Source organism: Homo sapiens, chromosome 12 (genome assembly GCF_000001405.40).
Source record: "Homo sapiens chromosome 12, GRCh38.p14 Primary Assembly".
Classification (NCBI taxonomy): Eukaryota; Metazoa; Chordata; class Mammalia; order Primates; family Hominidae; genus Homo; species Homo sapiens.
Genome location: NC_000012.12, coordinates 30,861,513 through 30,882,133, shown reverse-complemented (window position 1 = coordinate 30,882,133; position 20,621 = coordinate 30,861,513). Strand labels below are relative to the sequence as shown.

The following is a 20,621-nucleotide window of genomic DNA, read 5'->3' as shown; positions in this document are numbered from 1 at the left end:
TTCCAGCAGCGAACACCAGCTGGGTGTCCTCCACTTTAGTTCAATTCCAACACTATCTACCTGGAGCTAGCATCAGAGCCCACAGGTGACGGCTCAGTCCTATGAGAATGTCCCCCACTTCCGATGCCAATCACAAGTTCCAGGTTGTTTTACCTGTGCTTCTGACCCACTGGCTATAGATCAGGGTTCCCACAGCCCACTCCTTGTGTGCAGTTAGTTTGCTAGAGTGGCTCACAGAGCTCAGGGAAATACTGAGTTTATTGTAAAGTCTATTACAAAGGGTACAGATGAAGAGATGCTAGCGAATGGCAGGTGGGCAGGGGTGTGGAGCTTCGATGCCCTCCTTGGGTGCCACCCTCCAGGAATCTTCACGTGTTCAGCTATCTGGAAGCTCTTCAAACCCTGTTGGGGTTGGTATGGAAGTCCTTTTGGGTGTTTATAGAGGCTTTATTATGTAGGCATGACTGATTAAATCATTGGTCATTGGTGATCAACTTAACCTTCAGCTCCTCTCCTTTCTCTGGAGGCTGGGGAATGGGGCTGAAAGTCCCAATCCTCTCATCCAGCCTGGGTCTTGATGACCACCCCCCATTCTGAAGCTACTTAGGGGCTGTCAGCCACCAGTCAACTCCTTGGCATACAAAAAGACATCACTATGGAGACTTGGAGTTGTATGCCAGGAAACTGGATAAAGACCAAATATATATATTTCGCCATATCACAATACCCCAGGAACTGAAAAATAAGATCTCCCATGAGACCCATTGAATAATGGATGATGGAAGGTGGGCTACAGAAATGATTGCAAAATAACACCTAAGAGCTAGAAAGGACTTAGTACATCTTCTCCAAACTCTTCATTGTCATTGTACATGTGCAGACATGGAGGCTCATGAGGCTGTGTGGCTTGCCATCTAGTTAGTGAAAATGCTGGGTCAGGAACCAGGTCCCCTGATTCCCAGGCTGGTGCTCTTTCCAGAGGAATTTGTGGAGTAAGTGCAGACTGGGGGAAGTCACAGGGCTCTCCTTCCCAGGACTGGGACCATAGCTTTGGGCTAGAACTGCTAGTGAAGGGTCACCTGGTCTAGCTGGACCTTCCCAGGCAGAAGCACCACCAGGGCCATGCCTGTTGGTGGGAAGCCCTGCCCCCTCTACCCCTTATTTTATTTCCATTTTTTTGAAGAGAGGTTAGCTTCAACAAGGGATGGCAGTGTCTATGAGACACCTTTCCAGCGCAGCATTCAAAAATTTCCTCAGAGCTGGGCGTGGTGGCTCACGCCTGTGATCCTAGTACTTTGAGAGGCTGAGGCAGTTGGATCACTTGAGGTTAGGAGTTTGAGACTAGCCTAGGCAGCATGGTGAAACCCTATCTCTACTAAAAATTCAAAAATTAGCTGGGTGTGGTGCACGTGCCTATAGTTCCAGCTACTCGGGAGGCTGAGGCATAAGAATCACTTGAACCCGGGGAGGAGGGGGGTGCAGTGAGCCGAGACGGTGCCACTGCACTCCAGCCTGGACAATGGAGCAAGATCCTGTCTCAAAAAAAAAAAAAGTCTCCTCGGCCTGCCCAGGTCATAAACTTACTGCCCCCAAATATGTTTGTGTCTTTGCTCACTTGCTCTTCTATCAAGAGCATCGTTCCCCCTCCCTTTCTCCTACCTACTCCTCAAGGTTTAATTCTAATCTTCAGCTTCTTCAGCTAGCAGAGTCTGTGCCTCTGATTTGGAAAGAGTTCTCCAGGCTTTGTATTTTCTTTGGCTGATGTCGTGTTTCCTTGCAGAGGCCATGAGGTCTGGAAGGCAGGAATCAATTCTCCCACATGGAGGCATGCTCCCGGGCGTAGAGGACAATGTCTCGCATGAAGCGGGCACTAAGTAAACACTCATGGAGTGATTGATGGGCTGTTTGAGAGAAATGTGCTCGTGAGAGTCTGGGGCACATCTGGAAAGAGCTGAGAGAGGATTTTCAGGAGGAGCAGGCAGCACAGAACTTGCTGCAGGAGCCTGCCAAAGGCTTTGTGCTGCCTGGTTTTTCCTCCCTTGATCCTGGTGTCAGTTTCAGAAAGACTTAAGTGGATCCTGCATCAGGAGGGAGCAGACACCGGAGAAAGAAAAACAAGTTGTGCTGTTTGAGGTAAAGAGAATGTCAGGGGGAAGCATTGTAATGGGAACCCAGGTCTGGAGAGACTGGAAATTGCCTGGAGAGAGATTGAGCCCCTGCAGGTTTCAGCCCCTTTTCTCAGGTGCAGGGTGGGCTGGCCCTGAGAACAAATAACTGGAATATGAATTTGGGCAGAGAACAAACAGCCTGTGAGATTTCTGGTGGCAAATAATAATGATAAACCAATGTGCTGGGTATGGAGAAGGGGATACTTCCAGTTCTTTAGCAAAAGGAGCCTTTTCAAGGGAACTGTTACATGGATCTGAAGCCAGAGTTTTTCAGGTTTTCAGTGGCTTCCATTAGGTACCTGGGCAGAGGCATATAATGGAGTAGAGAGGTCTAGGAGATTTATAAACCAAGGATGTTTGAATGAGAGACGTGGAGTACATAGATCTTGGAGTCTCTTCCTTGCAGCATAGAGGTTTACTGGGGGGAAAGGATTTCAAGTCTATCCTATTAGAATTAGCTGGTGTAACAATCAAATATCAAAGAGCAACATAGGGATGGGGCGAGAGGATGAGTCTTGTCTTCACCTTGTCTGGGAGATTTTTGGCAGATTCTCGGAGGTTAAGCTCAAGGAATTAACTTTCATAAAAGCTAGTCACTCAATATGAGCTAATTCAAGAAATTGCCGGGAATGCAGAGACATGTCCAGTTCTCGTGTTATTCACAAAAGAATAAAAACCCTCAGGTTTTGGAAGTAGCTTTTTTTTTTTTTTTTTTTTTGTGATGGAGTCTTGCTCTGTCACCCAGGCTGGAGTGCAGTGGTGCAATCTCAGCTCACTGCAGTCTCCACTTCCCTGGTTCAAGGGATTCTCATGCCTCAGCCTCTCAAGTAGCTGGGACTACAGGCAAGCGCCACCACACTTGGCTAATTTTTGTATTTTCAGTAGAGACAGGGTTTTGCCATGTTGGCCAGACTGGTCCTGAACTCCTTACCTCAAGTGATCCGCACGCCTTGGCCTCCCAAAGTATTAGGATTACAAACGTGACCCAGCGCACCCAGCTGGAAGTAGCTTTGAAAGGGCTTCCAGAGCATCTCATTTTGATGTTATAAATGTTTAGGGAGGGTGAGGAAGAGGAGCTGGGCAGAGTAGGAGAAACTTTATGTATCATCGAAGTAGCATGACATAATTTAAAGGGGGTTGGTAATTTCACCTCAGCTTAACATATGAACCACTCTCAGGAACTAGTTTCTGAAACTTCACCATCAGGCCTTCGTTCCATATTGTCACTCACACATCTCTCTAGTGAGGCTTCGAGAATTATTCTTCTCATCACTGAAGGGGCTTAGAATGGCACCTGGCAAGAGAAGAAGAATAAGAGATCAAAATCTCACCTACTCAACTTGTTTTTCCTTGAGTAACTTTGGATGTGCTTTATCTTCAGAGAGGCCTTATTTGAAGCCACCTGCCTGGTTTCACATCCCAGCTCTGCTGCTTACCAGCTGGGGAACTTGGGGCCAGATATTTAGCCTCTTTGTACCTGGATTTCCCTACCTGTAAAATGAAGAAAAATAATGGTTGCTACTTCATGCAGTTGTTGTGAGGAGTAAATGAGTTAACGCATGCAGATGCTTAGAACAGTTCCTGGCACATAGTAAGTGCTCAATAAACATTTTCTATCATTCTTATTAGCTTTCACGATGGTGGCACCTGTTGCTCTGAAAGAATTTCCCATCTAAGCCCCAGCCAACTGCAGAAGAGCCCATAGCTGAGGCTGCCAGAGGAGGCAAACATTTCTGAGTTTTCCATTTCTCAAGTGCAAACACTTTGAAAGGCTCTTCAGCCCTTTCTTAAGCAAACTTCATAGCTTATTCTAAGCCCTGCATTTAAGGGAATTGCTAGATATTTCAGAGGCAATTTTTGCTCTTTTTTTTTTTTTTTAAGTGACCATGAACTGAGAGTGGCTAAGGAAAATGCTTCTGGCAGGACAGTGCCAGCCTTGGTTCTAGTCATACTTAGAGCAGATAATGGTCCATATAAGCGATAGAATGGGCTAAGATTCCAAGCTGGTCCACCCAATGGCTGCTGATGCCAGTGAACAGAAAGTCTTAAAATGGATGCCGCAGTTGGCATCCTGTGGCAATCTTCCCCCATCCTGTGCCTTCAAAGCTGCCGTGTATGTAGGTGGAAATTATTTTAATTGCCAACCTTACCTTGCACCTATTCACTGACTGCTAACTTCCCCTCTCTCCCACTCCCCTGCCCTGCTTTCCCTGCCCCTGCCTGAGTTGCTCTGCCGGTTTCTCTTTTAGGACATGGCTGGAGCAGACCCAGCAAGGCAGAGTCTCCAGTGCCTTTTGTCTCCTCTGGAGAAAGCGTGGGTGGGGCTGGGCTGGTTGCTTCAAGAGGAAAAGGATGAGGGTGTGCTGGGTAACAGGTGTGCAGAAATGGTGACGTGTCATTTAAACAATGGAGGATTTAAAGGGTAAGAGATGGGTAGAAAATGTACCAAGATATTTTGAGGGCTAAATTTGTTCTGGAAGTTAAATGCGTAGAACCTGATGAATCAGAAGAACAAGAGCCACTTAAGATTTTTAAAACCGTTGTGTTGCCCAGGTGATTCACAGGTGTTTTGTGTATGGTTGGTTATTAACAGTAAACATTTACGTAGCAGTTCACCTCCTCACATTTCATTCATAAACCCCTGGAATGTTAGTGATGGCCAGCAAACCAAGACCCAGATTTGCTCAAGGCCACTGAATTAGTTTGCAGCTGAACCAATGGGAGAGCCCAGGTCTCCTGGCTTTGTTCTGCTACCTGCCAGGGGCTTCCTCCTTGCTCAGTTAACTTGCTTTGTAACACCTGGTGATGAAGTCAGAAGCTGACTGGCCACAGCTTTCAGCTGGAGGAACAGAGAGGCAGGAAAGGGAGTGATCCACACTGACGAAGCAAGAGGCTGTATTTGACCTTTCCATTTCCAGACATCCTTCCTGAGCCCTCAACTCCAGAAGCATCACACTTTCTTTTACCTGTTTATCTACTAGGGTTGTCTCTCTTAGAGCTCTCAGCTGTCCAAGCAGCTTGACTTTTCCCCTTTGCCCCCTCCCTACCCACCTTGTGTCTAATCAATCACCGATACCTTGAATTCCACCTGTTTAGTATTTGACTCGCTCACTTTTCTCCATCTGCACTATGACCCCTTGCCTACCAGAAGCCTATTGATAAGCCTCTTCACATCCACTCTTTATTCCCTCCTATCCATTCTCCCACTTCCTAAAAGGTTACTCCCCTGCTGAAAACCCTTCCAAGCTCCCAGCAGCCTCTGGTTAAATGAAGCCCCCCCACCTTAGCACAAGGCTCCTGCCCCCTCCCAACTTGTCCATTGCTCGGCCTCGTACAGCTCCCCAGCCAGAAGGTTGCTCAGTTCCCTAACCTCATTGTGCTGTGGATACTTTGGTGATGGGGCCAGAGGGAGCCAGAGAAAGATCACAGGAATGGGGAGAGAGGGGGAAAGGCTGAGCCTGGCTGTACTGAACCATCTGTCAGCATGGAAACACCTGCTTTGTATTGGATATTCTCAACCTAGAGGGCACCGTCTTCAGATTCAGAGGTGGGTGGCACCTATCAAAGCAAGGCTGCAAACGAAGCTCTCTCTCTCTCCATATAGCTTGTCCTGATTTGATGAGCAAAGCACAGCGACCCATGAGAGGCGTGACATTTCTTAGTGGCTGTGTGACACTGAGCAAGTCACTTAATATAATGAAGCTGTGGGCTTCAGTCTCCTCATCTGTAAAATGGGGATAACAGTTGACCTACTGTGTGGCTGTCTTTTGTTTGTTTTGGCTGCACAGCCTATGAACCCCCTTCCGTGTTGGTGATCCACTACTGTGTGAGCTTCCATGGCAGGGTCTGCCTCCCACTGGGAAGCTAAAAAAGCCAGATGCTATGACTGACTCCTGGCAGAGAGGGAGTGAGGTGCTCATGCCTAGGTCTTCAAGTCTTAAGAATAATGCAAAGATGCAGGCCCAATTGAGAGTGATTCCAGTAGAGGTAGTGGGGTGGGGGGTTGCACTGACAATGACAGGAGTGGTGGTCACTATGCTGTCCAGATCCCTTCCTGCGGCATGAACTTGCTTGCTTTCTTCCATGCCTTCTTGTCAGGTCTGGGAGCAGCCTGATTTCCTCCAATGCATTCTATTTATTCTCGTAAGGGGAACAGAGTCAGTTTCTGTGGATGGGACCATGAGTCTCAGCTCACCTGCTTGGTCCTCAGCTACTTCACAGGGTGCTTAGGATGGGGCTACTTCAGTGCTGTTGGAGTGCAGCTCAGTAGGGAGGGGGGAAACCCCGGGGCTGGGAGTGTAGCATCTACTGCACACACCTTATTAATAAAGCTGAAATAATAATGCTCAAAATGACTGATTCAAAAATTATATTGAATAGCAGTTATTCCATCGTGAGGATGAGATATTGTGACTGTGTTTTGGAATGGACGGGGATGGAAGACATTCTCCTTATCTTACCAATAGAGAGCCTTTCCACTCCTCCTCCTCCATGTCTTAAATTTAGCTTAAAAATACATATTTAAAAACAGATGGGGAAAGGCACATGTCCATCTCCACAGACTGTCAGCATCTAGGAGGAGACATTTATTTCTGCACTGAGTCTGTCAGGTCTTGCGTCTGGCTTTGGCAGCCTCTCTGGTAAGGAAGAAGGAAAGAAAGACAATCCTGCTAGCCATGGCCCAGGCTTCCCTCCAGGAGAGGACATCTTCCAAGTTGAGTTTGGGCCTTACTTGGCCGCAGCAGCAGCGGCAGCAGCAGATTAACGTGATCTCCAGCCCTCCCCTCCCTGCCTGGGAGGATCCATGAGCTCGCCTCTGTTTGCTTAGATCCCTGGTCCTCAGGAAGCAGGCACCAGGGCCCACAGGAGGCCAGGCTCCCGCCAATTTGTCACGTTAACTGGTCTGGGCTGGATATAAAAGATATGGAGTTTTCCTACCCCATTGCCCAGGTTCTGTTGTTTTGGCCACTTTGGAAAACATTGAGGCACAAGAGCCTGAAATGTGCCCCTGGGGACAAAAAGGACTTGCGTTTGAACTTTCATCCTGGCTCCCCTCCAGCTTAACTGCCATCTCAGGGAAAGAGGCACTTTGAAGACACAGTATTTAATTACAGCATTTTTTGTTTGTTTGTTTTCTTTTAATGCTTCAAAGAGCAGGTTGTCAGGCTGACTTATATGAAAGCAGAATCATTAACCTCATGAATAACTCAGTGCAATGACCAAGGAGATTGAGGCAAAGGCGGCTGCTGAGGTGGGATTGCAAGGTGTCTCTGTGCCTCTGCAGGGAAACAAACACACAGCCACACTGCCGGCCTGCCATGGGGGTGGGCTCCAGCTCAGGCCTGCACAACTTCCCTCCTCAGTTTTTCCCAGGGCAGCCCACACAAAGGCTTCCAGTTGCTGGGGGCAGTGAGTGGGGTGGGGCTGTGGGGAGAAGACTCTGATCTGGGACTTTGGAAGGGGTGCATGTCCACCTGGAGGTACGGAGCAGCCCAGCAGCCCACATTTCCTTCAGCTCTTTGGGCCTCAGTTTCCTCACCTGTGAAATGATCCCAAGCTCATTTCTAAGTCTAGCTTTTCTTTGGTGCTTCAATATTTCCCACAAGCCTCTGAGGTGTCAGGTGGCTGGGCTATGGCTTTGGGGTCCCAGCCACTGCCATTCTCCCTTTTATCAACCATTTCAGCTGGCAAAAGCTGCAGTCCCACAAGAGCCACTGTATAAATGTCCCACTATTTCAGGGAAACTGCCTCTCTGGAACTGCAAGGGCTGATCTTGGTAATAAACAAGGAAAGCTGGGGTAGAGCTCCCTGGTTGTCTGAACTGGAAACTGGCCACTTGCTATTTCCTAAGACCAAACTGATGAGGGGCCCTGGGGACAATCAGACTGTCTATGGATCCAGACATCAGACCATCGAAGTGCAAAGCAGTGAAAAGGGGAAATCTGATTGCTTAAAAAAAATCTGTACCAAAAACATTCCATTTTAACCAAATAAGTTTATTTGATCATACAGAGAGTACTACTGAATTTAAAGGAAGTTAATATGAAAGTTCATGTGTTTCCTTCTAAGCTAAAAGCTGGTGTTAGTACCAAACAGACAGTGGCTGTGAAGGGGAAAAAAGCCATGGCAGATTTACCTATTTGGTAAATCTTTTTTTTTGTGTGTGTGTGGCAGGATCTCCTCTGTCACTCAGGCTGGAGTGCAGTGATGCGATATCGGCTCACTGCAACCTCTGCCTCCCAGGTTCATGTGATTCTCCTGCCCCAGCCTTCCAAGTAGCTGTATAACAGGTGCCTGCCATCACGCCCAGCTAATTTTTGTATTTTTAGTAGAGACAGGGTTTCACCATGTTGGCCAGGCTGGTCTCGAACTCCTGATCTCAAGTGATCCACCCACCTCAGCCTCCCAAAGTGCTGGGATTACAGGCATGAGCCACCACACCCAGCCTGGTAAATCTTTTTAAAAGTTCAACTTTTAAATCCATCCTCTCAAACCATTCTTAAAAAACCCCATTCTTGTCACCTTGAGAAAAAGCTAAAGAAAAAGCATTGCTTTTGCTACTCATTCAATACTATTTGAGTGAATCAGAGCCACGGGCTTGAAGGCCATGCCTGTGGAGGCCTATCTGCTCTATCACTCACCTTCTGGAGCCTGCACCCTGCTGTCCACTGTCCCAGCCAAGGTGTGATGAGTTGGTGCTATCTCCCTCTACTTCTACAGGCATCTCTTTTATTCTGACCAGAAAGTCCTTCTTTGTAGAGAGCAGAAATCTGACTCCCTGTAATGACCCTGCAGAGTGCATGGAAAACAAATCTCTTTGAAATGGCACCTTCATCTGTCCAGTTGCCCCAAAATTCACTCTCACCCTTCCTTCTCTGTCCTTCACATCCAACTGGACATTGACCTGGGTAATGCTGCCTCATAGCAGCCCATAAACTCTGTCTGTCTCAGAGTCCCACTGCCATTGTCCTGTTGAGATTTCGAACTCTTACTAGGACATCCCATTAGTCTTGTCACTGGTCCCTTTGCCTCCTCCCCCTGTCTGTCAACCTTCATGGTGGTCTGAGCAGAACTTTGGCATAAGGTAGTAGAAAGAGCATGGGTTTTGGAATCAGACAGGGACCTGTGCTTAAATTTGGGCTTTGCCACTTAGCTGCATAACCTCAGCCAAGTTTGTATTTTCATGCCTTATTTCCAGATCTACAAAATGAAGATAATATTGATTCAGGGTATTCTTATGGTGGTTAAATGAGATAACATCTTTAAAAATGCCTAATAAGATGTCATAAGTAGCTATCCTATAAATATTAAGTCCTTTTCCCTTACCCTATTCTCTACCCCTTTTAAACTTGTCAAGCGACATAGTTTCAAGCCACTTAATTGCACTGTTTGACATTATCTAAACCTTTCTAGTTTGTTTGACTCCAAGAACTAACCATAATATACTTGAGGCAGGGCTTGAGACCACAGAGTAGAACATTCACCCATCCATCCATCCATCCATCCATCCCTCCATCCATCCATCCAACATTTCTGGAGCAATTGCTAAGGCCCAGGCACTATGACAGTTGCTGGAAACACAGAAGCAAAAGACAAGGAGTATATAGCCTAGTGGCCTGGTGAGGGGCAATCTAATACAGCATCAGCAGGGGTAGAGATCACTGAGCCCAGGGGGCCTCATGGAGTGTAAGGGAAGAGCTCCTAGCCAGAAGCTGGGGCAGTGCAGGGTGGGTGCCCTGAAGGTGGGGCTGTCAGACTCTGGAGAAATGAGATGAGTTAGCCAGAGAGACTTGTGGCTTTAGAGACAAGGAGTGTCCGGATCCTTCAGGGCCTTATGTGACATGCTAGGGAATTTAGACTTGATTTTGAAGTCAATGGGTAACCTCAAAAAGACAGTGGCAGAGATTTTTGTTTCAGAAATACCCTTTTGCTTGCATTTCAGAGAATGAGTTGGGAGGAGACAAGACTGAGACCAATAGGGAAGGGACATCAGTGGTTCTGCTTGACCAGGGTGAGGGCCTGATCCAAAGCAGTGACAGTGGGCACAGAGAGAGAGCCCAATAGCAGAGAGGGCACCAAGCTGGAGTCGCTAGCACTTGGGGACCACTTGAATATGGGGCTTAAGGTAGAGCAGACTCAGAAAGGCCTCCAGAAGGCAGAGGCCTCCAAGTATGGGAGGCCAGTGATGTCATTCACCATGATGGGGAGCTTGGGAAGTCGGGATCAAGGAGTCAGAAGGGGCAGACCAAGTTTTGGACTTGGGGACACTCCTGTTTCAGGGTTAATGGAGGGAGGGGCCTGGAGGGCTTAAAAACCACCAGAGGATGGCATCCCAGAGATCAAGAAAAGATGGAGTGGGAGGCAGAAGGATCACTTGAGCCCAGGAGTTCAAGACCAGCCTGCACAACAGAGAGAGACCCCATGTCTACAAAAAATAAAAATTTAACCAGGTGTGACAGCGCATGTCTATAGTACTAGCTACTTGGGAGGCCAGGAGGATCACTTGAGCCAGGGAGGCCAAGGCTGCAGTGAGTTGTGATTGCACCACTGTCCTCCAGCTTGGGCAACAGAGTGAGACCTTGTCTCCAAAAAAAAAAAAAAAAAAAAAAAAGACACAGAGAGATGGAGAGAGATGTACTGCAGTCAAACAAGATAATGGCTGTAAAAAATGTCAGTTAAATTATCAAAGTAGAAGGTCACTTCCAGAGACATTGGCCCAAACTATTTCCCTGGAGAGTCTGAGCCAAGGGTTGTAAAGTGAATGGGAGATGAGTGAATGGCAAAGTTTACAGTCTGCTCTTTGAAGAAGCTTGTCTCTCTAGAGAAAGTGAGACATGGGTGGCATCAGAGGAGCTGACTGAGGCTTGAGCATATTTACATACGTGGGAAGGAACCAAGAGAGATTGAAGGTGAGCAGTAAGTAGGTCGTAGCCTGGCAGCAACAAGGAGGGGTAGAGAATGCTCTTGACGGGTAGTGAGGGCATTAAAGGAGCAGGAATTTTTGCTTATAGACAGAGGAGTTTGGAATAGACTGCAAAGCTTCAAGAGTGCTGAAGCTTCTTTCGCAGCCTGTGGGGCAAGTGCCCCCAAATGTCCTTAGAAGTGGTCGTAAGGGGACATGGGATCTTAAAGGTCTCATAGAAGACCCAGGTTGAAGTGAAAGGCCCAGATTAGAGGATGATTTGAGCAGAGGCCAGGCATGGCTGAGTCGATGCTGGTGGCAGGGATAGGGCTGCAATGTGACAGCGCAGCTCACAGTAGGTCTCACTACCAGATGGGGCTCCTGGCTTTCATTTGGTTTCACTTTCTGTCTTGCAGGAAGCAAGTTGGACCTGCACTCCAGCCTGTGGAGATGAACCTAGGACTGTGATTCTGCTATCCAGTATGTTGGCTGACCACAGGGTAAGATAGGCTCTCAAGGAACTTACCATCTTGTTTGTGCAAAATGAAAATACTTTGAAATAACTGTCTTGGGGAAAGACAAAAATAAGAACAGAATGCCGAGAAGATTACACACAAGGCATGCAACCCCAAGGTACAACACCTGAGATTCCTGAGAGGGAGATCTGGTTGTCATAGACAGGAAGAGCTGGAAGGAGGAGATGGCTCAGGAGGCTGATGGGGCTGGAGAGCTGCAAGGGGAGAGGTGAGAAAGGCTCTCCTGGGGAACAGTCTGAGGACCCTGTGCCTGCTTGGCCTTCCATTCATCTTTATGGCTTGGTCATGTGATCTGCATTGATCTGTAGTTCCAGGGAAGGACTTCCTTCCTTCCTTCCTTCCTTCCTTCCTTCCTCCCTTCCTCCCTCCCTCCCTCCCTTCCTTCCTCCCTCCCTCTCTCCCTCCCTCTTTCTCTCTCTCTCTCTTTCTTTCTCTCTTTCTCTTTCTCTCTTTCTTCCTTTCTTTCCTCCCTCCCTCCTTTCTTTCCCTTCCTTCCTTCCTTCCTTCCTTCCTTTCTTTTTTCTTTCTTTCTTTCTTTCTTTCTTTCTTTCTTTCTTTCTTTCTTCCTTCCTTCCTTCCTTCCTTCCTTCCTTCCTTCCTTCCTTCCTTCCTTCCTTCTTTCTCTCTCTCTCTTTCTTTCTTTCTTTCTTTCTCTTTCTTTTTCTTTCCAATGCAGCCACTTGGGACTTCACATATGAGATGAGGTGGTGAAAGCATGGAGATGGTCTAAAACTGAGCAGGAACATTAAATGAACAGGTGGAAGGAACCACCATACTCTCAGAAGAAATGGTCAACCAGCAGAGATCCTGAACCCTGATCCCAAAACCAATCTAGAGATACAGGAGGCACCAGAGGGAGGTTGGTGGGAGGCCAAGGAATTTTAGCAGAGACAAAAGGAAATTAGATCTCAGTTGAGGAAGAAGAGGAAAATGATACAAAGTGGGTAGGCCAGATGCCACTGACTGGGCATAGGCTGAGGGAAAGAGGGACTTTCTAGGTAGTCATATTATCTTCTGTTGTTGCCCTGGATGGACCATTACCCATTGCTTTGCACAAGGTGGAAAACTGCAGACCCCACCCAGTGGCAGCAGAGGAGGGAGGTTAATCTAAGGACTGAGATGAAGCCAGGCTGGGCTGGAATGAAGGTAAAAGGGACAGGTGATTGATAAATCCTCCTTGATTTTTCCCCCCTCTCCTCCTCAACCTAGAGGGCAGTGGGGCTGGGCAGGCACAGCAAAGGGAAAAAGCAACCCATGAAAGAACATTAATCAAACAGATATTCATCTTCTCAACAGGAAAACTGGTTTCAAGAAGAAAACAAGGCTGGGTATGGTGGCTCATGCCTGTAATCCCAGCACTTTGGGAGGCCAAGGCAGGAGGTTCACTTGAGCCCAGGAGCTTGACACCAGCCTGGGCAACATAAGGAGACCTCATCTCTACTAAAAATAAAAATAATAGCTGGGTGTGGTGATACACACTTGTAGTCCCAGCTACTTGAGAGACTGGGGTGGGAAGATTGCTTGAACTGGGGAGACTACAGTGAGCTGTGATCACACCACTGCACTATAGCCTGGGTGACAGAGCAAGACCCTGTCTCAGAAGAAGGAGAAGGAGAAGGAGAAGAAAATAAAATGTTAAAAGGAACTTAGAATGTAGAGGTCTAGCCGTAGTAATTTTATACTATAACCGTAGAGGATACTAACATGGTTGAGGGTGTGTGGAGAGACTTTATTCTCTGACTGTAATGCCATAAAATTAGTAATTACTAATGAAGAAATAGCTTTAAAAAAGCCTACCTGCCTGAAAAGAATACCTGTTTAAACAGACACACACATGGGAAAATACAAAATAGTGATGAACAATAATGAAAGCACAATGGGTTGAAATTTGAGAGACATAGCTTAGAATAATACATTTATTACCCAACAAGAAAGGCTGAAAACAAACTAGCCAAGCATTCAATTCAGGTATTTAGAAAAAGAGCAACAGAGTTACCTGATGCAAATAATATAAAATGAAATCATAAAGATGAGGACATAATGAAATAGAGAATAGTAATGACAGAGATAATTAACAAAACTAAAAGCTTGTTCTCTGAAAAACAAACCTCTGGCAAAAATGAGCAAGAATAGATGACATGCAAACAAAATGAAGGATTCAAAATGGGAAACATTTGCCTAAGTAATTGATAAATATCAAAAGAATTCTATGATCTAGAAAGCAAAAATTTTGAAAACCTACATAGAATTTTTAGTTGGATGAAATTTTGAGTTGGATGCATTATTTCTAAACATATTACACAAAAATAAAAAATGTTAACAGAACTATAGCTGCTAAAGGAATTAAAGAGTAATCAAAACCATGCCCTATCCTCCCTTTTTTAAGGCCCAGATCCACACAGTTTTACAGGCTAGTTTCACCAAACTTTAATGGAATCAAAAATCTCTATCTTATACAAGCTGTTTCAGAAAATAGAAAAAGGGAAAACTCTGCCTGACTTATTTTTATAATGCTAGTATATCCTTGATTCCAAAATCAGATAAGAACAGTATAATAAAAGAAAATCATAATCTATTTCATTTGGATTTCCTATTTAAATACTAACTCACTAAATCCAAGAGTGTATTTAAAAATGCAAAGATCACTCAAAATTGTAAAATCTCTCAAAGTAAATTGCCATAAGTGGAAATAAAAGCTTTTGTAAAATTTGATAAAATCTATATACCAAGATTTTACTGTGAATATATATATTAACAGACAAACTATTAATTAATTTGAGATTTGGAAAAAGATGAAGTACCTCTGAAACACTGTTACTTTTCAATATACTACTAGAGATCCTGGCCAATGCCATAATACATGAAAAAAAAATAAGAAGAATAAAGGTAGAGAGAAAAGGGACAAAAAGTCATTTGCAGACATAGAAATCCAACAGAATCAAGAGACAAACCACTAGAACTAATGAGATGTCAACAAATTTATTGGATACAAAGCCAACTTACAAAAATCAACAGTTTTCTTTTTTAAACTAGCATATAGAATAGGAAAAAAATACTATTTTCAGAGGCAAAAAAAAATTGTGAAGTACCTAGGAAAGTGTCCAACAAAGAATGTGCAAGTTCTTTAAGGACAAAAATTTTAAACTCTGTTAAAGATTATAAGACTTAAACAGAGAGGTAGAGTGTGTATGTAATGTAATTCTAAAAATATAAGTTCTCCACAAATTAATCCATAAATTCAATAAAAATTCAATAAGAATTAAGGTAAAATTTTGGCACTGGCATAACAAAGTGATTCTAAAATGTGTATGAAATAATAAATTTCAAAAAAGAGAAAACATTCACCCTAACATCTACTGTAGACATCCTACAAACTCCACACTAATTCAATGAATCTGCTGCTGGTACAGGATGATTAAGGTGAATGCAACAGAACAGAGGGTGCAGAAATAAACTCGTGGCTATATGTCATTTTATATGAGACAGGTGGCACTCATCAGTGGAGAAAGGATGGCTTATATAGGTGATATTTGGGGAACTGGTTTACTATTGGAGAAAAATTATTCAGATCTCTATCTTCTACCATATACAAACATAATCTCCAAATATAGACCTAAATGTGAAAGGCAAATTTATGATATTGAAAAAATGAAGGAGCTTGTGTGTGCACATGTGTGATTTGGGGGTATAAAAGATTTTTCACACATTATTCAAATAGCATGAATCATAAGGGACAAAATGGTTGCGTGCAACCACACTAAAAATTTCTGTTTAATAAAAGACACCATACACCAAGATGACAGATTGATCGTAGGTTTGAAGATACATGCAACTTTTAAAACTAACAAGGATATTTCTAGAATATACCAGGGACTACCACAAATCAAGAAGGAAAAGGCATGAAAAAATTAGACAAGATATTAACTCACAAGAGGCTAACTAATGTACAAACAGATGCTTAACTTCACTAGTGATCAAAGACACACAAAACAAAAGAAGATGCCACTTTCCACCCATCAGATTAGCAGCCAGTGGGAGGTAAGATATTATCAAGCATTGATAAGGCTGTGGGGAGTGAGAGCTTTCAAGACTGTTAGTGGTGATAGCAACAGGAGACAGACAAATTCCTGGGCAGACAGAGACAGGTCCCTGGTGAAACTCCACCTTCAAGCCAAGAACACTCTAAACCCTGAAAACTGAGCTACAGTTCCGGATAGAATCCATGAACCTGAATGAGAACTTCCATCCCCATTTTACCTACTCTCTCTCAATTGGTTCTTTCTAAATGATGCCTCTTAACCAATTGAATGGTGCCTTTTCCAAGACTATTTTGCATATGCCCACTTTCTCCTGATTGGCTCTTTTCACAAACTAATTGAAGGGTGTCTTTTCCAGTCCTACTCATAAACCAATCAGCATGCATTTCCCCATTCTAAGCCCATATAAACCCTAGACTCAGCCTCTCAGCCAGCTACCCACTTTTGGGTCCCTTTTTGCTGTCAAGGGCTTTTCTTTTGCTCAATAAATTCTACCCTGCCTTACCCCATGATATGGTTTGGCTGTGTCCCCACCCAAATCTCATCTTGAATTGTAGTTCCCACAGTTCCTACATGTCATAGGAGGGACCTGATGAAAGGTAAGGGGATGATGGTGGTGGGTCTTTCCTGTGCTGTTCTCATGATAGTGAGTAAGTCTCATGAGATCTGATGGATTTATAGAGTAGTTCCTTTGCACAGTTACCCACCACCATTTAAGAAGTCCCTTTGCTCTTCCTTTGTCTTTCATCATGATTGTGAGACCTCCCCAGCCATGTGGAACTGCGAGTCCACTGACCCTCTTTTTCTTCATAAATTACTCAGTCTTGGATATGTCTTTATTAGCAGTGTGAGAATGGACTAATTATAATACACCCCCTCTCCAGTACCTTATTACTCTTGGTCATGAGACAAGGACCCAGAACTCACTGAACTGTGATAATAAAAGAGCTGTGACACTCCTGTCAGCTGAACTACCAGAATGAAAAAAGCTGCAACAGGGGGACTGTTGTAAATTGTACATCCTGGAGTGCAGTCTGGCATTTTCTATAAAGTAATTTACATGCTCTGTAATTCAGCAGTTCCACTGCTTGGTATATGTCCCAGATAAATTCACAGACAATTATAAGAAGAAACATGAGCAAGGATGCCCATTTCAGCATTGTTTGTTGTAGCAGAGAGCTGTCTAACCAACACATCTTTCATCAGGGGAATAGGGAAGTAACAATAATGTTAACTAAGGTGTTTTTTCCTCTGCACTTTTTATGTGCCAAGTGCTTCTCGAAGCTCTTCAGATACATCCAGTCCAAAACTCATTTAATCGTCATAACCACCCTGTGATGTAGGCACTAGTACCATCCCATTTTATATATTAGGAACCTGAGGTACAGAGCACTTAAGTAATTTGCCAAAGACAACACAGCTAGTAAGAGACAGAGTGGGATACGGTGGGGTGCATACAGTGAAATATTCTGCAGTAGTCAGAAACCATGAATCAGATTTAGTGACAAGATCTTCAAAAAGGTAGTGTTGAATGAAAAAGTGAGATATATAACCCAATATCACTCTTATTAAATAAAAGCACATACATTCTCAAAAATGTTAGGTATTCTTCAGTGAAAGGACATTTGAGTGGGTCCCTGTGGGTAGGAGTGGGAAGGGGAGATGAAGGGAAAAATGATGGGGCTTGCACACAACTGTGAGATCATCTGCCATGACCCAGAGAGGAGAAAGCTGAGCTTTCTGAATTGGAGGTTCAGTTGTTAAGAAGGAAACCACCATCATTAAAATCTTTTGGGACTGTTGAGTAACCCAGAGTAAGGTTGCTCAGAAAAGAGAGAAGGCTAACACTGAGGTGCTCCCGAGAGGCTCCTACATTGACCCCATTCTCTGAGGGTTACTAGGCACAAGCAAGAAAAGATAGTAGGGAAATGCAGATTTTATCAATTCCCATTCACTGTTATATATCCACATGCACAGAATTAAAAGCAGGCCAACATTCTTCATGCTATCTAAAAAAGGTTTCTGGGCCACCTTTCCTCACTGCTATTTCCTAGACATGCTAATTTCAACATAACCTTAAGCAACATAAAATCAGGGAGCAAAAGCTATTTAAACACACATACCATAAAATGGCACTCTGTCCAGATACCCTACAGATTCTTCAGTCTTTTCCCTCTCACAATGGGAGACGGTTGATATAGCAAGTTACAGAAGGAGCTTCCCAGAAAAAGAAGCTGAGGGCAGGGGTTATTTCCAGACACTGGTGCCCAGAAGCCACTGATCAGGATGTGTGTTCAGGGGACGTGTGTGTTGTGGGGGACGGTGAACATGGATGAAGCCCCATTTTTTAAAAAACTCAGATCCCAGCTGAGACTCCCACAGGGTGCAAGGGTTTACATGAGGCCATGATTAAAAGGCAGGACTGACTGGGGGGGCTCAGGAGGAAATGTTCCCAACAGGGTGCTTGACTACTGTAGCCCAGTGGAATTCTTCACTTTCAGGCCAGGCAAAGGTCATGAGGCAGAGGCATCTCTGGAGAAGTTTGCTTTGCTTTGCTCTTTAAGCACTGCAGAAAGAGCATTGGATTGGGGAATAGAAGACTTTCTTGTCTTTACTCTGCCTGTTCCCAGCTGTTTGAGTCTCTGCTATTAAACAGGAAAAATTAGGCCAGTCCTGCCTACTCAAGGGAAGGGGGGATAGGTTGTGAGGTTCATGAAGTTAAACGTGCATAAATGCTTTTAAATCTGTCAAGTGCCATATGGCTGTAGAAATGACAATGTCATGTGCTTTGATCTGCGCCTTCTCTGAACCACACAGGCTTGTGAGTCCTTTCCTAGTCCTAGGATGGGAGTTAAGCTTGATGTATTTCATCTGCAGGAAAATGAAGGATTGGTCCTGGATGACACCCTGCATCCGCAAAGAAACTGAGGCCCAATATCCAATTTATTCCTCCTTAGGAGGAATGATTTTGGGGGTTAGGGGAGGATGGCATGTGTTCAGAATGGAGAGTTCACACCTGTGATGAGGTTGGGTGAAGGCTTGGCCTCAGTTGCCCTGTGACTTTGCGTGAATGTTACTGGGTGCCTCAGGCTCTGCTCACCTACTTATAAAATAAGTAAAAATATCCCCCTCCCCATCCTGACTGTGTGAAGATGGTTAGGATCCAGTTACACACTGAGTTCATCTAAGTCCTGGAGAAAGATTCAGCTTTTCTTGTTGCGCATCTCCATCACCTTCATCTTTGGCACTCACTTGCTTTTAAAACGCCTTAATACAGTAACCACAGAAACAGTGGGTGACTTTCAAGTCCATGCCTTGGAAAGTCAAAAGTTCTCCATCTTTTCACTGCCCAGCAGCCCCAAGTGAGCCAGGCGCTGAGCTACTGTGATAAAATTTTGGTTTCATCCCTCAGAACCTGGGTCACCATTTGCTTTCTTCTTCTTTTTTTGTTTTTGAATGAGCTACTATTGTCAGAATGCAGGAGATGTCTGTTAATAAACTAAAGATTTCATGCCACCAGTGATTTTTCTAAGAGGAGACCAGAATGCAGCTGACCAGTCTTACTTGTCTCCTTTTGTGTTGAGAAGTTTTGACTGGGTACATGGTCCTTATTGGGTTTTGGGGCTGCTAATATGATTTTGCTGCCTGGAAACGCAAAAGCCATGAGTCAGTTAAGAAGCAAGGTGAAGCTATTTCCAGCATCTCCCAGTAAGGATGGAGGCCTGGGTGATGGTAGAAATGAATCTAGCAGGCAAGGCTGTTCTTTCTCTCCAGGGATGCCTCAGCCTCTGTGGCAGAGCGATACTTTATCTTTGGACGCACAGGCTCTGCATTCCTGCTTCTGGGCAGCCTGCCCAGCTAGTGTCCCAGCGGACGGGGAGATTCAGTAGGTTCAATTTGATTCAATTCAGCAAACATTTACTCACCTCCTACTGTGTCCAAAGTAGACAAAAATAAAGGTCTTCTTTTTTCTTTTAGATTATGAAAATGAAGTATTCTTGTTCTAACATTTTAAGTGTTAAGCTGGAAGGCCACCCCCTTACCCCTTCAACCACACCTCCCTGAGGTACTCAATGTTGAGGTTGCATTATTATTATTATTTTTGTTATTTAGTTTTTATTTCATAATTATAAACTTAACTTTGCAATCCAGCTAGGCATGGATGGAAACAAAACATGGAACCCAAAGGAATTGCAGTGAGAGCACAAAGATTATAGGATACTGTGAGCAAATGGGGTGGAGGGGTGCTCTACTGAGCTACAGATGGAATGGTCTGGTGGTTAAGATAAAACACAAGTCAAACTTATTAGAGTTATCCACAGTCAGCAATGGTGATCTTCTTGCTGGTCTTGCCACTGGACCCAAAGCGCTTCATGGCCTCCACAATATTCATGCCTTCTTTCACCTTGCCAAAGACCACATCCTTGCCATGCAACCACTGAGTCTTGGCAGTGCAGATGAAAAACTGGGAACTGTTTGTGATGGGTCCAGCATTTGCCATGGACAAGATGCCAGGACCTGTATGCTTTAGGATGAAGTTCTCATTATTAAATTTCTCGACATAGATGGAAACTACCAAAGGTACTATACTTTGATTTATTCCTCACCGAATTCCAGGATTTCTGTGGATCTTCTCATCAATGTTGCTATGGTCTGAATATTTGTGTCCCCCCAAACTCATCATTGAAATCCTAACTGCTAAGGTGATAGTATAAGGAGGTAGGGCCTTTGGGAGGTGAATAGGTCATGAGGGCTGGCCTCTCATGAATGCAATTAGTACCCTTGTAAAAGAGACCCCAGAGAGCTAGCCAGCCCCTTCCGCCATGTGAGAACACAGTTAGAAGGCACCATCTATGAATCAGAAAGCAGGTCCTCACCGGACAGTAAATCGGCTGGCATCTTGATCCTGGACTTCTCAGCCTCCAGAACAGTGAGAAATAAATTTCCGTTGTTTATGAGCTACCCAGTTGAGGGCATG

General features: G+C 44.7%; 1 long non-coding RNA gene and 1 pseudogene across 3 annotated transcripts, besides 1 other annotated feature; one reads left to right on the top strand and one right to left on the bottom strand.

The window, feature by feature from the left end:
• The first annotated feature begins 1,744 nt into the window (after nt 1-1,744).
• On the top strand, nt 1,745-12,987 carry LOC107984476 (uncharacterized). Of its 3 annotated transcripts, none has more exons than XR_001749063.1 (4): nt 1,745-2,133; nt 11,487-11,570; nt 12,665-12,752; nt 12,903-12,987. It is a non-coding gene; the product is annotated as an uncharacterized LOC107984476 (long non-coding RNA). The 3 variants fall into 3 exon arrangements; XR_001749062.1 differs by having other exon boundaries at nt 12,665-12,765; nt 12,903-12,980; XR_007063260.1 differs by having other exon boundaries at nt 11,487-12,765; nt 12,903-12,980.
• Nucleotides 6,958-7,459: an enhancer, noted in NCBI's record as "H3K4me1 hESC enhancer chr12:31027609-31028110 (GRCh37/hg19 assembly coordinates)". NCBI's record gives its function as "activates a minimal SCP1, AML or CMV promoter by ChIP-STARR-seq in naive H9 embryonic stem cells {active_cell/tissue: H9 hESC(naive)}" and the evidence as "EXISTENCE:reporter gene assay evidence [ECO:0000049][PMID:30033119]".
• On the bottom strand, nt 19,955-20,213 carry PPIAP44 (peptidylprolyl isomerase A pseudogene 44; annotated as a pseudogene).